The following is a 17,599-nucleotide window of genomic DNA, read 5'->3' as shown; positions in this document are numbered from 1 at the left end:
TGGGCTGGTAGGTAGTGACTTAGCTTGTGGAAAGTTACAGCAATCACCCAGGCAAAGCACCAGTGGTGAGAGGGATATGTGAACTGTGAGTGGCTTCTCCGGATTTCTGATGTTGGGACGAAGCCAGAGTGAACAAGTCTCAAAGCCACTCAGCCCTGCAAACTTAACTGAGGTGCTAAGACATGTAAAACAGGAGCACCAACACAGGGCTGGGATTCTCAGAATAGCAGGAGAGACACTGAAGGAGAAGAAAGGAAAAACCACCAGAACATTGAGAGGTGAGGATCTGGGACAGAATCAAAAGGGGCTCTGCAGCGTGTATAAAGAATGGGAGAAGGCTGTTCATGTCAGTGCTACAGCTGTGGGGCATAAGTTAGAGACAACCTAAGCTAACAATGGAATAATGGCTAAGGAAGGCTTATGGAAATCACATTATTTCACAGCAGCATAACATAGCCAAATAAATTTAGTCACATGAGATAAAATGGATACATGGTCATGCAGATTGCAAATTTTGAAAATATATAAGCATAGAAAAAAAACTTAGAAGGACGTACATAAAAATGCTGAAAGTAGGCCAGGCGCAGTGCCTCATGCACGTAATCCCAGCACTTTTGGAGGCCGAGGCGGGCAGATTGCTTGAGCCCAGGAGTTCAAGACCAGCCTGGTCAACATAGGAAGACCTTGACTCTACAAAAAATTTTTTAAAAAAATAGCTGAGTGTGGTGGCATGTGCCTGTAGTCCCAGCTACTCAGGAAGCTGAGGTGGGAGGATCGCTTGAGCCTGGGAGTTAGAGGCTGCAGTGAACCATGATTGTGCCACTGCACTCCAGCCTGGGAGACAGAATGAGACTCCACCTTGGAAAAGAAAATGCTAAAAGTGTTAACTCTTGGTGAAGAGATTGTGAGAGATTTAAATTTTTTTATGCTTTGCTGTATATTCCAGATTTTCCAAAACAATACATATGACAATTCTGGAATGAAACGTGTGAACTGATGAAACAATTGTGATCACTTTGGCAAAATGTAGCAAAAGCTTGAAGATTTATTTTGTTTTCTAGTATGGAGGTTCTTTAAAGAACTAAAAGTAGAATTACCATTTGATCCAGCAATCCTACTACCGGGTGTCTACCCAGAGGAAGAGAAGTTATTGTATGAAAAAGACACTTGCACACATGTTTATAGCAGCACAATTCACAATTGCAAAAATATGGAATCAACCTAAATGCCCGTCAACCAACAAGCAGATAAAGAAAATGTGTTATATATATACATCATGAAATACTACTAAGCCATAAAAAGGAACAAAATAATGGCATTCACAGCAACCTGGATGGAGTTGGAGGCCATTATTCTAAGTAACAGCAGGAATGAAAAACAAAATATTGTATGTTCTCATTTATAAGTGGGAGCTAAGCTACGAGGGTGCCCAGGCATAAGAATGATATAATAGACTTTGGAGAATTGGGGAAAAGGCAGGGAGGTGGGTGAGAGACTACACTTTGAGTACAGCATACACTGCTTGGGTAACGGGTGCACCAAAATCTCAGAAATTACCAGCAAAGAACTTTTCCATGCAACAAAAAGCCACCTGCTTCCCCAAAAACTATTGAAATAAAAAAAAAGATTTATTCTGTTTTTCCCTTTGAGCCAGCAATTTCTCTTCTAGGAAGTTTGCCTTGACAAAAAGATGTGCACAAAAACTGCTACAAGGGTGTTCAATGAAGTTTAGCAAACAAATATCCAACCACAGGGGATATGTTACATGACAATGTTCCAATACAACAGAATACTTGGCAGTCATTACACATAACATTGTAGAAATAGCCTTAATGACATCTGGAAAGGTGACTACGGTATATTATATTACAGGAAAGGAACAGGTTACAAACCATTATGTGCCGTAAGATCTGTATCAATGTTTAAGAAAAAAGAAACATTGTTTTTTAAAACGGATTTTTAATAAGAAGAAGGTGAGAGGGTAAGCCCAGGCTCCATGGGTGCGGCCTCAGGGGAGTTTTACCTTGAGGAGCATATGTTTCTCACTGGGAGTCAGGTACATCTTGTTCTCGTAGTAATCCACACAGATGTTGACAATGTCAGCCAGCAGCTCCTCATAGCCTGGGATCACTTCAAGTTGCTGGTGGAGACACTGAACAGCAGCGCCACCCTCAGGTTAGGCAGCGCATGTATCCTGTGCCCTCACCTGCACCCCTGCAGAAGCCCTACAGCTGGCCGGTGTGGTCCCCGCTGATGGCCAGGAATCACAGCTCCAGGGAGGCGAGGCTGCATGCCAGCTGGCACCTGATGCCTGAATCCTCTCCTTGATGTCCCCACAGTACTCCTGCACACCTCCCATGGCAAGGAACTCACCCCCTATTTTATTCCCAGGCAGTTCTGATGGTTAGAAAGTGCTATCCTGGCCTGAGCTAAAAAGCAGCTCAGTTTTACAGCAATAGGCTTCTTGTCATTTCAGCTCAGCTTGGAGGATGTGGGCTTATCTAGGATGTCTTCTCAGACAACGGCAGCAAAACCCCACCCAGGGGAGGAGAGCTGGCGGTGGGGAGGGGGGCAGGTGTCTCCCTCTTGGCAGGACACAGCAGTAGAAAAACATCTATTAGAGAAGGGTCTGAGGTCCCCACCCTAGGCCCTTTCTCTCCAAAGGGACCAACCAGGCCCCTGCAGGGTATGCAGAGGAGGGCACTGCTGGTACTTCCCACAGGCAAGAGAAAGAAAACCTGAGGCCTCAGTTACTGAACAGCTTTCTGCAGTTAACAAAGAGTGGCAAGGGCCCTGTCAACCCAAGGGCCTCCGTGATATGGATTTGAATGTGAACACCCTTGGAAGATGGAGGATCCCCTCAGTTTTGGCCTGAGTCCTGCAGATATTCTTGCTAGAGACTGTTTAGGCTGAAGTGACAGTTATGCTTGTCTTGCTTATGTTGGGCAAAATGGGAAAATGGCAGCTGAGGGGTGTACCCTGGCAAAGCAGCGGCAGCAATAACAGCTATGTCTTCCTAGGCCCTGAACATCTGTCAGGATCTGCATGCTAAGGACTTTTCATATACTGGTATCATTTATTTCTCACAACAGTCCTATGAGATGGGTTCTCATAATATTCTCAAAATAACAGACCCATTTTACGGATGAGGAAACTGAGGCTTAGATTGGCCCCAAGTCTGACAGAGTGGGTCAGTGGTGGTCTAGGATTACAAAACAAGGCTGCCTAACTCCAGACCCCACGTTCTCAACCCTGATGCAGGGTCAGAGCACTGGCTGAGAGGGCTTCACGAGCATGACAACTGGAGAGGGTGAATCGGCCACCTGGGGTTGGGAGGACAGACTTAAGTCCTCAGCTACATTTCACTCTCAAGTAGGGCAGTGGAGATGGAAGCTGCAGACTGAGCTTGTCTGCTTGGGCTCGTGGTCCACCCAACCTCTACACGCCTGCCTATAACCCCGAGACATCAGGCCAGGCCTAACAAGGAGTCTGCCCTCACCTGGGTGATCCTGTTGTGGTTGGCCAGGAACATGGAAAGGTTCTGCGACTCCTGGATAGACTGGGGATCTGCCATCTTCCGCAGGAACTGTGCTGCCCTGAAACGCAGATAGTGGGTGCTGCAGAGAGGACTGTCCAAGTGCAACGGCCTAAACCATGCCTCACGGGCTCGCATGCCCACCTAACACAGAGTGACATCATCCTGGAAGTTAATGAGCTCTGAATATCCCAGGCAACACTAATGTCGAAACAGAGTGTGTTCTGAAGTCATTTGCTTTGGGGCTGTCTACACCCTTGTAATAAGGGCCCCTTAAATTAAAAGGCAGGAATGTACTAAGAATCTCTGAAATCTCAGAAAGTTTAAGGGGAACTAGCATCCCATCAACCAGCTGGGAGTGGTAAAACAGGAGTGAAATGATCATCCTTGTACCCTCCTGTGACCTCCAGTGAGGCTGCATAGTAAGTTATGGAGAAGCAGTGCAGGTAGGATGCTAGAATGCACCTGTTGTGTATTCTGTTATTTACAGGAAAACTTCAACGTTTCCAAAGCAAAGCATTGTATGGAAAACAGAAGGCTATGGAACCTCACAGAATCGCAGGTGATGGGATGACGGGCACAGGGAACACAAGCAGGACTTGATGGGAGAAAGCTGTGGCTGCCTGACTTCCCAGCCTAACATGGGGATGGTGCCACCTGTGTCATCATGAACTGTGAAAACAGACAAGACACCCCACCTTGCTCATGACCTAGCTGGGCGGCAGAGGATCTCATTTGTGGCCATGACAGAAGCAGGCTGGCTACAGGTGGGGAAAATTTGATAGAAGATATTATGCAATAAGCTACCCATAAAAACTTTGTAAAGTTGTCACTTCTAAGTCAGCCTTGAGATGGGGCCCAGCCTGCTGGACACCACCAGATTTCACAGTTGACTTAGGAGGGTAAACTTGTGAGAATCAGTCTGTTTTCTCTAGTTACCTTGCAGCCCAGGAAGATGTCATTCAAGGAGGGTCTCTCTTTATCAGAGACACAGCAAATCCTTCTCAAGAGACTTCTGGGTGGCTGTATACTGGTTTCTGGAATGACTCCTCCCCCACTTTCAGTCCTCTTTTTTGTTTTAATTTAAAAAAAGAGACGGGGTCTCATTATGGTTTCCAGGCTGGTCTTGAACTCCTGGGCTTAAGTCATCTGCCTGCTGTGGCCTCCCAAAGTGCTAGGATTATAGGTGTGAGACCCTCTCCTGGCTAACCTTCTTCTTCTTAAGAGCTGGCAGAGACCCTGCACTCCAAAGGCAAGCAACCATCCCATCAGGGTGTCTCCACCTCTACACCTCCAGTGACTGATAGAAGGTTTAGCATATGACTCAAGCTGATCAAAGGCAATCCTCCCTGGGACTTCCATGAAAGTATTTGGAAGGAGAAGCATCCTGTCCTTCCTTAGAAGCTGGGATTGCTGCACTGGCCTGAGGAAAGCTGCTGGAAGCCACCACAGACCTGAGAATGAAGCCAATGTAGAGGAGGAGGTTGACCTGAGAGCTGGAGGCACTCAGGCTAACATTGTCATCTGAATGCCTGTGTGCAGGTGTACCTGGACTTTCTGTGAGCCAATTCATTTCCTTCTTTTACATACACTGTTTGAATTGGCTTTATGATTCTTGCAGAAAATGACTAATGTAACCATTTTGTGATGATCTTACTGGTCCCATATTACATGGGGCAACATAAAATGCTGCTGCTCCAGAGATGGGGGAACTGAGGGTTTGATTCCATCTTGAGATATAAAACTCTACAAAGATCAAGTTCTTCCAAGGCCCAGCTCTATGCCCTGTTCCTCAAACCACACTGAAACAGGCCAAGCCTCACTATGTTTGGGGGATGGCTAGTTTGGTATCAAAGAAAAAGCAGGTGAGAGGGGCTCCATTCTCTTCCTCCACTTGACAGGCAGCCCTGGAGGAGGGGCCTGGATGGGGAAAGGGGAGAGGGGGAGGTTGCCCTGACCTCTTGTAGGCAGAGTGGTCATTCTTGACGCTGCACTTCATGTTCTTTAGCTCATCCAGGACAGCAAACATGTTGATGAACTTGCCAAGGGTCAGGAGGTAGGCCTCAGAGACAAAGTCCTTCCTGCGCTCGGCATGGCACAGCCGCTTCACCTCGCTGCAGAACCGCTCGATGGCCTTGCGCTGGGGGCAGAGGGGCAGTGAGTAAGGTCCACTGTGCTCCCTTATGGGGGCAGGGTCCAGGCTCCTCTAGGGCCCTCCTCAGAGCCAGCCCTCTCGAGAAAGGCAAATCTGCCAGGCAATTTTTCTCAGAGGAGTCCTTAAATCCGAAGCTAATTTCTTTTTTTCTTTTTTTTTTTTTTTTGAGACGGAGTCTTGCTTCGTCACCAGGCTGGAGTGCAGCGGTGCGATCTCGGCTCACTGCAACCTCCACTTCCCAGGTTCAAGCAATTCTCCTGCCTCAGCCTCCCGAGTAGCTGGGATTACAGGTGTGTGCCACCATGCCCAGCTAATTTTTCTATTTTTAGTAGAGACGGGGTTTCACCATGTTGGTCAGGCTGGTCTCAATCTCGTGACCTTGTGACCCACCTGCCTCGGCCTCCCAAAGTGCTGGGACTGATTACAGGCATGAGCCACCATACCTGGCCCGAAGCTGATTTCTTGAGGGGAGCCTGGAACCTGCCTCTATGTGACTCAAACCAATGCATTCATTCAACATACATTGGCTGAGCATTACGTCTTATTCATTTTGGCATTCCCAGCACCTAGGACAGTGTCAGGTACCAGTCGATAAGAAGGTAGAGACCAAGAGTGAGAGACATGCAGAGAGGAAAAGAGGCTCATTCATCCAGTAGCTATTTAATAGCCATCTACTATGTGCCAGGCACCATTCTAGGTCCCGGGGTAGAGCAGGAAACAAAAGAGAAAAACAGACAAGCAAGCAAATTCTGCCTTCAGGAATTTACATTCTAGTTTTTTGTTTTGTTTTGTTTTGTTTTGAGATGGAGTTTCACTGTTACCCAGGCTGGAATGCAGTGGCACAATGTCGGCTCACTGCAACCTCCGCCTCTCAGGTTCCAGTGATTCTCCTGCCTAAGCCTCCTGGGTAGCTGAGATTACAGGCATGCACCACCATGCCCAGCTAATTTTTTGTATTTTTAGTAGAGACTGGGTTTCACCATGTTGGCCAGGCTGGTCTCGAACTCCTGACCTCAAGTGATCTGCCTGCCTTGGCCTCCCAAAGTGCTGGGATTACAGGCATGAACCACCACGCCTGGCCTAGGAGTTTACATTCTAGTGAGAGAAGACAGAAAACAATACATAGATCTATTAGAATGTGGTATGTGCTATGGAAAAAAATAAAGAAGGAAGGCTTGAGGAGAAGCGCTCAGAGGGGTTGTCCTTCTAAGGAGGAAGATCAGAGATGGAATCCTCAAGAAGTGACTTGCAGGAAAAGAAGCTGAAAGAGGAGGGAAAAGAGGCTTATGGGGTAACTCAATGGTCAGTGTGAAGGCCCTGAGGTGTGTTCCAGGGATGAGAAGGAAGCCAGGGTGGCTGAAGCGGAGCGAGTACAGGAAGGAGGCAGAGAGATGGGGTCAGGGCACTGTCTCTTGCAGGCCTTTGTGAGGGCTCAGACTTGGACAATGCTTGAGCTGGGGAGACATGGGAGGTTCTGAGGCCAGATAACATGGCCTGAATTATATTTTAAAAGAGTCACATTGGCTCTAGGGTGCAAAGATAGACGTGAGAGAATAGTTAAGAGGGTATTTAAAAGCTTAAAGGTGGGGTTACCATCTGACCCAACAATTCCACTCCTAGGTCTCTACTTGAGAGACATGAAAACATACGTCCACACAAATACTTGTACGTGAACGATCAATGTTTGTTCATAATAGCCCCAAAGTGGAAATAAACCAATGTCCATCAACTGATGAATGGATAAATAAAATACGGTATATCCATACAATGGAATGGTATTCAGTCCTAAAAAGGAATGAAATTCTGATACACGCTGTAACATGGATGAGCTTTAAAAACATAATGCTAACTGAAGAGAGCCAGATGGACACAAAAGACCACGTTATATGATTCAGTTTATATGAAATGTCCAGAACAGGCAAATCCATGGCAGCATAAAGTAGCTTAGTGGTTGCCTCGGGCTGAGACTGGGGAGATGAAGGTATTATGGGGTGATGGCCAAAGGGCGTGGGGTTTCTTTTTGGGGTAATGAAGATGTTCTAAAATTGATTGTGGGCCGGGTGTGGTGGCTCATGTCTGTAATCCCAGAACTTTGGGAGACCAAGGCAGGTGGATCACTTGAGGCCAGGAGTTCGAGACCAGCCTGGCCAACATGAAGAAACCCCATATCTACTAAAAAAAAAAAAAAAATACAAAAGTAGCTGGTCGTGGTGGCACACACCTGTGGTCCTGGCTACTTGGGAGGGAGGCTGAGGCAGGAGAATCACTTGAACCTAGGAGGCTGAAGTTGCAGTGAGCCGAGATAGTGTCACCGCACTCCAGCCTGAGCGACAGAGAGAGACTCTGTCTCAAAAATAAATAAATAAATAAAACTGATTGTCGTGATGAATGTACAACTCTGTGAATATATTAACAACTGCTAAATTATCCACTTTAAATGGGCAAATTATATGGTATATGTTAAGTATATCTCTATAAAACTGGTACCAAAAATTTTAAAAGGCAGTGGAACAGCAACAACAAAAAGAGGCTACTGAAGTAACCCAGAAAGAGCAAGAAAGAAAGAGAAGGAAGAAAAGGAAAGCAGGGAAGGAAGGGGGAGGAGAAATGATGGCCCCGATTGAGCTCCACTCTGCTTCCACGGGCCTGAGAGGCCCAACCAGCCAGTCAGTCCTTTCCTTCAAAGACCAGACTAAGTCACACTTTCTCCTGCCAGAGTCTAAGTCCAACTAAACTCTGGGAGATGAAAATGGTCCATATCTGCACTGTCCAATATGACAGCCACCATCACACGTGGCCACTCTGCACTTGCAGTGTGCCTAGGATTACTGAGGAACTGAATTTTTCATGTTGTCTCGTTTTATTTTTTTTCAACCTACCTCATGCTTTGATTTTAAAATTTTATTTTTACTTATTTTTATTTTTAATCTTTATGTTTTTCATGTTGTCACTTTTTAATTAATGTAAGTACCCACATGTGGCTAATGGCTATGGCACTGGACAGCACAGTTCTAAATTATTCCAGATCCTCCCTTCTGTAAATACCTCTTGTCAGGAGACTCTCAGTTTCTCAGTTAATCAGTTTCTGGATAGTTCTTCTCTCTTGGCCCTGCCTTCCCAAAAAGATTTTGGGCTCCCGAAGGCAGGTCCATGATGCTAACAGTAGCTGCAATTTGTGAAACCTACTCTGACCAGGGTCCTACTTGGCTCTTTACAAACAGACCTCATTTATTCTCACCATAAACCTGTGAAGCCGGTCATTTTCAAGGTGAAAAATCCCAAGGTGTCAGAGACATTAAATAACTCACAAACACACAGTTAGAGAGTGAAAGGGCCAGGGATGTGACTTGGGCTTCTCTGCCTCCAAAGGCCATGCTCCCCACCTAGGCTGCATATCCACACCCCACCTTCCCATTTCCCTCACACCCAGGCACTTCGTTTTATTTCTTAAACACAGCAAGCTCCTTCCGGCCTCAGCCTCAAGGCTTTTGCCTCTGTGGCAACTTCTGCCTGAAACCTTTCCTCCTGGTCATCACACGTCAGCCTCTCTCTCTGAGTCTCAGCTCAAATGCCGCCTCCTGAGAGGCTGTCCCTAAAGCAGCACTCACATCACAGGCACTCTATAACCCAGAATTTTTCAAAATGTTATTTTACTCACAGCACTTATTATTCCCTGAATATTAATGTGTATTGCTTATTGTCTTTCTCTCCTCCTACACAAAACACACTCACATACTCACTAGGATGAAAATTCCACGAGGGTGGGGAGACTCATCCGTCTTGCTCACCCAGGGATGTGTAGGGCACAGTCAAAAAATATTTGCTTAGTGAATAAATAACATGGCACAAAACTGCAGACCCCAGTGGTTAGAAAACTAGGGGCCTTTTCAGTTCTCCAGATGCAGACCTGCCCCTCCCCACTCACCTGAAAATACATGAACTTCATGAGCTTGGTGACCTCCGGCTCCAGCACCTCTACTGTCTTCTCATAGATCTCTACTCGGTTGGGCTGCTCGTTGCATTTCACCTGTGGGGGATAATGGGGACACACACATCCTGGTTTACACCTGTTGTCTTATTACTGTTTTTTGTTTTGTTTTGTTTTTGAGACAGGGTCTTGCTCTGTTGTCCAGGCTAGAGTGCAGTGGCATGATCATGGCTCACTGAAACCTCAACCTCCCAGGCTCAAGTGATCCTCCCAACTCAGCCTGCCAAGTAGGTGGGACTTCAGGCATGCAACACTATATCCAGCTAATTTTTGTAGTTGGTGTAGGGATGGTGTCTCACTATGTTGCCCAGGCTAGTCTTGAACTCCTGGGCTCAAGCAATCCTCCCACCTCAGCCTCCCAAATTGCTGGGATTACAGGCATGAGCCACCATGCACGGCCCTGCTGTCTTATTAATAGGGCCCTTTTTCACTCTCAAATACACCTGATTTTGGATGATAACTGATATGCTCATCCTAGTGAGGAGACTTGGGTAGCCCCTGCTTCACCAATCTGGCAGGGGGCAGAAGTGCTCCGCAGACATTGGCTGCAGGAAAGGAACCAGTTGGTCCCAAGAACAGAACCCTCCTTCCTTTTTCTCAGTTCTGTGCCCTGTCCATGAGTTACTGACATGTTCACATTTATCTGCAAGCTCTCCCTCCTTCAGTCTTTCCCCTGTCCGCACTCTAGCGGGGTCCAGCTGGATTCTAAGCAGAGAGAAATATTCTTTCCATTGTTCTGGATACACCTGGGACAAAGCTCCCCTAGACCTACCCAGGCCCATTTCCCCTGCTCTGCAGTTTTCACCAGTGTGCACATCAGAATCCGATGGCAGACATCCTCACAACGCACACGCCAAGGCTGCTAATGGATACATGGGATCTGAAGAGCGAGCCAAGGTAAGCACAGGGACATTCTTCATACTATTGCTTAGAAAGTCTTAAAGTGGCAGCATCATGCTAAATATCCACCAGTCAACAATTAAGTGGATAAAATATGCTACAATCACATAATATCACTGTGAGCTGTTAGAAGGAATGAGACAGTTTTATGTAACCAGGAAACAAAGTCACCACAAACAGGTGAAAAAAGTGACAGAATAATCAGGTCCCATTTTTATTAAGTGAAACAAAACAGCATGTGTGCTCATATATAAGACAGGCATAGAAAATCTGAAAGGATGCAAACCAAATTGTTAATAGTAGTTATTGCTGGGGCCTAGAATTAGAAGGAAGGGGGAGGAATAGTTTCTGTTTACACACCTGTGGCTTGCTGATTTTGTTGCCATGGGACCCGTTAATTACATGATGATGGCACTGATGGTAATAAAAATATCTGTATGTGTGTCAACATGACAAAAGTCAGTAATTAAGAATTAAGTGGGGAAAAAAGCAAGTGGCAGAACAATATAAACACAAAATAATACATTTTTGTAAATAATAATTTACAAAATAATATTCATGCCAGGAAAAAGATCCAGACAAATATGTCACAAAGTGTACATGGCCATCCCATGGCGGGATGTGGGTTTGGGTGGTTGGGGTGAGGCAGTGGGAACATCTTTCTTTTTACTTCATACCCTCTGCAGTGGTTTTGGTGTCATGTAGTTACCATATACTGCTTTGGAAATAAAATATATTGAACAAATGTGTTTTAAGTCCCTCGACATGCGTCCCTGTCATCACTTTTATGGGAAGCTCTCTGAATGTCTTCCAGGTTCTTCCTTGGATAAGAGGACCTGCTTTACTCCCTACCACGTGGAAAGAAAAGCTCAGCTCTCTGGTTTGGGGATGAAGTAGGGGTTAGTAATGCCCTCTGGAGGGGAAAGAGACACACAACAAGGACAGTCTCACCTGGGGAATGGCCCGGGAACAGCTGCGCCAGGTGTACAGCATGACCGCATACTCATGTCCTTCCTCCAGCATCTCATTCTGAAATGGTAAAACAGCCTCAGCAGGGAGGAACAAGACGGGTGCCACCAGGCTGCAAAAGCCCCCAGATCCTCACTAGTTATGGTATGGTCCATGGACCCACAGCATGGACATCACTTGGGGACCTTACTGGAAATGGAGAATCTCAGGTCCCTCCCTGGGCCTATGCAATAAGAATGTGCATTTCAACAAAATTCCCAGATGACTCACATACACAATGAGTTTGAGAAGAACTCATCCTCAGGCCACATTTTCCCAAACAGATGGATGGCTACCTTAGAAAGAATGGGGCAGAGCTATGTGCCCCCCAGATATAATGTTAGCAAGAAAATAAGCAAGTAGCAAAACAGTATGTACAGCAGATAGGTTAAAAAACAAAACAGAAATAGTTATGAAAGTATATTATCAAAACTGCCTTTGCAAAGATTACGACAGAGAAATCTGACATAGTTGACTCCATCTTGCTTCTAACCTCCAAGCTGTCCTTGGTCATTCCTGGATGTAGGCTAACTTTGGGAGGAATTTCGTTGACAGTTTAACCTTAAAGCAAGGATGATAATAGCCCTTTCCAAAACTAAACTGCCTTTGTAAAACTAATGAAAGGCCACAAGGTTAGGATTATGAGAGGTGTGTGAATTCTGCTGAAGATGTAGGCATACTTTCCATAATCCCTTACTATTCAGGAGTCTTGTGGCCAGAGGTCACAAGATTGGTGCCTTCCCCAATTGCTCTTACAAATACCAACACTATTGTAGAATGTAAGATTGGTCTTTTGAGAAGTTCTTCAGACTGACTCCACCTGGACTTTTGGGACTCGACTGGTCCAATGGCCCCCACCCAGATGCAGCCTCAGCACATGAGGCCTGTTTTCCACACTCCATGACTGGATCCCCAATCAATCAGCACCCATTCCCTAGCCCCATGCCCACCAAACTATCCTGGAAAAAGTCTAACCTCCAAGCCTTTGGGGAGACTGATTTGCATAATAACTGTCTCCTTTGTGGCCAGCCTCATATTGATTAAACTCTTTCTTTACTGCAATACCACTGTCTCAGTGAATTGGTTTTGTCTGTGCAGTGGACAGGAAAAACCCATCAGGTGATTACATTATTACGTATTGAAAAAAAAATTTCAGTGCAACATGTACCAAGCTATGGATAGCAAGCTCTCTGTGAGGCTGGATTGTTTTGCATCACTTTTTAAAAAGTCATATAGCACTATAATTTTCACACTTTTATAACAGCCCATGTACTATCTCATAAGCAGGAAAATGATTAATATCAATTTTTAATAATAAGCAGAGCAGATGGGAAAACCAACAACAGCATGAAAAACGAGCGTGAAAAAATACAGTGATGACTCATCTCACTGAGGAACTGCTGCTGTGGAAAGAGACCTAAACTCAAGGTCCGAATACCTGGGCTCAAGGCTGGGCGCAGTGGTTCACACCTGTAATCCTAGCACTTTGAAAGGCTGAAGCCGGTGGATCATCTGAGGTCAGGAGTTCAAGATGAGCCTGGCCAAAATGGCAAAACCCCGTCTCTACTAAAAATACAAAAATTAGCCAGGTGTGGTGGCGGGTGCCTGCAATCTCAGCTACTCTGGAGGCTGAGGCAGGAGAATTGCATGAACTCGGGGGGCAGAGGCTGCAATGAGCTTAGATTGCGCCATTGCATTCCAGCCTGGGCGACAGAGCAAGACTCCATCTCAAACACACATACATACATACATACATACATACATACATACATACATACATACATACATACATATCTGGGCTCAAATCCCAGCTTCATCACTTATTAGCCCTTTAGTCTATTGTAAATCACTTATCCTAAAATTCTCCACTTAGTCATCTGTTAAATCATGATAATAATAATAATCTCATAGAATTTTATGAGAATTAAATGGAACACATACACATACTCTTGGTAATCTGTGAAGTGAGTCAGAAAAATAATCTGGCAGTGTCACAACACGTTAACCACAGAGTTACCATTCGACCCAGTAATTCTTGGGTATGTGTATACCCAAGAGAACTGAAAACATATGTCCACACAGAAAAATGTGTAGATTCAAGATTTGCATGTAACACAAATGTTCATAGCAGCATTATTCAAAATAGCCCAATAACTCGAATGTCCATCAATGGATGGATGGATAAATAATATGTGGCATGTCCATACAATTAATTATTTGGCAATACAAAGTAACGAACTACCAATACACGCTACCACATGGATGAACTTTGAAAACATTATGCTGGCCAGGCGCGGTGGCTCACGTCTGTAATCCCAGCACTTTGGGAGGCCGAGGCAGGTGGATCACCTGAGGTCGGGAGTTCGAGGCCAGCCTGATGAACATGGAGAAACCCTGTTTCTACTAAAAATACAAAGTTAGCCGGGCATGGTGGTGCATGCCTATAATCCCAGCTACTCAGGAGGCTGAGGCAGAAGAATCACTTGAACCCGGGAGGTGGAAGTTGCGGTGAGCCAAGATTGTGCCATTGCACTCCAGCCTGGGCAATAAGAGCAAAACTCCATCTCAAAAAAAATAAAAAAATAAAAATAAAAAAAGAAAAAAGAAAAAGAAAGAAAGAAAACATTATGTTAAGTAAAAGAAGCCAGACACAAAAGGTCCATATTGGATTATTTATTTAGATGAAAATAGGCAAATCCATAGAAACAGAAAGTATACTAGTGACTTCCAGGAGGTGGTGGGGTGAGAGGAATTGGGATTGACTACTAACAGGTCCAGGGCATCTTTTAGGGGTGATGAAAGTTAGGTAGTAGCCATGGCTGTATAACATTGTGAATATGCTGAAAACTACTGAATTGTACACTTCAAATGGAAATACACTTTGAAAAAAAAATCACCAAAGAAAGAATTTTACTAGGCCATCTCTTTTTATAAATGTTTATATCTATATTAAAAAATGAACTTTATTTTTAAATCCACATACCACCATTTCATAATATCTTATTAGTATAACAGCAGATCAATTTACTTATGACAGTTCTGTTTTCAGCAGCAAATGTCATTGACAAGTCACACTTCAATGATTAATTTAGAGAACTTTAAAAATCAGTAACATGTTGTCCTTGAGAACAGGGAGAACCAATCAAGCCCGTGGGTCCCGCAGTCATCTGCCTCAGAACACATGTCCAAAAGGGGAAGTGACAGTCACGTAAGGAACACGTGTCTACTTGTAGCACCAACCTGCCTGCCGACGGGTGTTAATTCCGACTCATGCATTCAGTGAATGTTTAACTGGGCACTCATGGGTCCCAGGCTCTGTGCTTTGTGCTGCAAACAGCGCAGTGAACAAGAAGAATGTGAACTCTGCCCTACGGACAGTTTGGCCATCAGCCAGATCTGTCATGCAATTATGCTAGAATGTAGAGGTTAGGATGGTGCAGTGGAAAGAGCCCTGGGTGGGGTCTTGGGAAACTTGAGTTCTGGTCCTCACTCTTCTTGGGCCCACCTTTTAACTTGTAATGTCTTAGTTTCCTTACTTGGAGGTAAAGAGTTGGCCTGAATCATTCGTGTTCAACCCTTGTTGTATATTAGAGTCACCTGGGGAATTTGATGCCTAAGCCATGCCCCAGATTAACTAAATATTTATCCCTGGGGATGGGGTGGGGCACTGGTGTTTTTAAACAATCCCCAGGTTGATTCTCTTGTGCAGCCCACATTGACAGCTTCAGGACTAAGGATCTCTAAGGTCCTTTACATTTCTAATATTCTGAAAGTCCATGACTTAAACCCAATGTGAGTGTAGCTCAAATTTTATGTAGTGACAGATCCAGTGATCACTCAGCCCCCATCTCACCCCAGCAAAGAACCCTCAACTCTTCCATATAGTTGGTCAGTTATGTGGTTTACGTACTTCCCCTCCTCCTCTTTTCTCTGGCTATCCTGTCCTTTGAGAGATTCACCTTGCCCAAGTGGGGACAGGAGACATACAAGAAGATGAGCATCTCATACACCCACATTGCTGCTAATAAGCTACCTTAGAAAGACTGGGGAAGGCACGAGGAAGACACTGTTGACTGAAGGGAGATTTTGGTGTTATCCAGGAATGTCAGCATTGCATGCCACTCATGACTCATGCCTAAGCCACATCAACACTCTCCCTGTGTAGGCAGAATAATGGTCCCCCCAAGATGTCTGTATCCTAATCCCTGGTGCCTGTGAATATGTTCCTTCACATGGAAAGAGGCAATTTGCTGATGTGACCAATTAAGAGCCTTGCAATGGGGGTAGGCGGGTGGTGGTGGTTGTTCTGGATTATCCTGGGGAGCCCAGTGTAAACACAAGGTACTCATAAGCAAAAGAGGGAGGCAGAAGAGTCAGAGAAGGAGATTTGAAGATGCAGGCAGAGATCAGAGTGATGTCACTGCTGGCTGGGGGCCACGAGTCAAGGAATGTAGACACCTCTAGAAGCTGGAAAAGGCAAGGGAACAGACTTTCTCCTGGAGCCTGCAGAAGGAATGCGGCCCTGCTGGCACCCTGATTTTAACTCAGTAAGACCCACGTCAGACTTCTGACCTACAAAACTATAAGCAAATAAATCAGTGTTCTTCTAAGCCACTAAGTTTGTGACACTCTATTAGGGCAGTAACAGAAAATGAACACTATCACTCTCCAACCTAACCCCTCCTTCCGACTGCTCTGTTGGTGTCTTGACCTGGTCTTCCTGGGAACTCAGTCAGTGCAGTCCCAGGTGACTGCTAAGCCAGTGTCCCTCACATCCATATCCTCTTAGCTGTACCCCAGTGCCATCACCCTCATTCAGCCTTGAATGCCTGCAGTGTAGATAACTTTAATTATCTTGACTAATTTATTTGCCTCATTCCTACTTGCAACTCATTCTACATATGACTAACACATGGAATCTGTCCCCCAAGCTGCGTTCTGTTCATATCTCTTTTAAGGATAAAGATTTTTCCATTGTTTTTAATTTTTTATTAAATAAACTAAAGCCTTCTGTTATGGGCTGAATTGTGTGCCCCCCAAATTTATAGGTTGAAGCCCTAACCCCACAGGACCTCAGAATGTGACTGTATTTGGAGACGGGGCCTTTAAAGAGGTAATTAAGTTAAAATGAGGCCATTAGAGAGGGCCCTGATCTAATCTGACTGGTGTCCTTATAAAAAGAGGAAATCTGGACACACAGAAAGAAGGTGCCAGAGATGTGTGCACACAGAGAAGAGACCATGTGAGGATGCAGAGAGAAACAGCCATCTGGGAGCCAAGGAAAAAAGTCTGAGGAAAAACCGAACCTACAGACACCTTGATCTTGGACTTCTAATCTCCGGAACGGGGAGGAAATACATTTTTGCTGTTTAAGCCATTTAGTCTGTGGCACTTTGTTAAGGTATCCAAGCCAACGAATACACCCTCTATGCCCCGACCCTTTATTTGTAGGGAATCTGTAAACAATATCCCTATATGCACTTTACAGTCCATACCAGTCACTCCTCGAAAATCCTTGCCCTGTGCCTTTGCTCACACCAGCTCTTCCACATGGTGTGCTCTCCCCGTCTCATCTCTGACTGGTAAAATTCTAACTGTGTGAGACAGCACGGAACAGGAGAAAGAGATCAGGACTGGCAATCAGTCCTGGATTTCAGGTCCAGTCCTGTGATTTACTGGTTGTGGGATCATGAGCAACCTGCTTATTAACTTTTCTAGGCCTCAGTTTTCTCATCCCTAAAATGGATATAATGATCCCTTTGCAAGTCACAGGGCTGTTATAAAGCTCCAATAATATAATATATGAAAATGCCTTACATATATTTTAAAGTATACTGTATCTACAAGGTATCATTATCCTCCTACAAGGCCTCACACAAAAGCCACTTCCTACATCAAGCTTTCTCTGACTCTCTCAAGGTTCCTTCAAAAACACAGAACTTTGAACTTTTACCATGACATTTACCCTTAACTTCGTGTATTTTTGTTTGTCTGCAAGGCATAGTCTGGAGCA

At 45.0% G+C, this 17,599-nt stretch overlaps 1 protein-coding gene across 8 annotated transcripts in view, besides 1 other annotated feature; it reads right to left on the bottom strand.

Moving 5' to 3' along the window:
* Positions 1-17,599, bottom strand: part of CYFIP2 (cytoplasmic FMR1 interacting protein 2) — a 129,472-nt gene that overhangs the window by 89,205 nt on the left and 22,668 nt on the right. For 6 of the 8 annotated variants that reach the window (XM_011534516.4, NM_001291722.2, NM_001037333.3 and 3 more), the window contains 5 exons: positions 11,530-11,607; positions 9,616-9,717; positions 5,494-5,675; positions 3,500-3,596; positions 2,024-2,152 (listed from right to left, as the gene is read on the bottom strand). In XM_011534516.4, the coding sequence (XP_011532818.1) occupies positions 2,024-2,152; positions 3,500-3,596; positions 5,494-5,675; positions 9,616-9,717; positions 11,530-11,607 (588 nt within the window). Of the gene's footprint in view, positions 1-2,023; positions 2,153-3,499; positions 3,597-5,493; positions 5,676-9,615; positions 9,718-10,938; positions 11,023-11,529; positions 11,608-17,599 lie in introns of those variants that run through there. The other 2 variants (XM_047417102.1, NM_001291721.2) reach the window with 2 other exon arrangements.
* Positions 14,678-14,727: a silencer, noted in NCBI's record as "silent region_16558". NCBI's record gives its function as "represses an Ori minimal core promoter by ATAC-STARR-seq in GM12878 lymphoblastoid cells {active_cell/tissue: GM12878}" and the evidence as "EXISTENCE:reporter gene assay evidence [ECO:0000049][PMID:35858748]".

The sequence above is a fragment of the Homo sapiens genome, chromosome 5 (genome assembly GCF_000001405.40).
Source record: "Homo sapiens chromosome 5, GRCh38.p14 Primary Assembly".
In the NCBI taxonomy this organism is placed as follows: Eukaryota; Metazoa; Chordata; class Mammalia; order Primates; family Hominidae; genus Homo; species Homo sapiens.
This window is presented reverse-complemented; position numbering and strand designations above follow the sequence as displayed.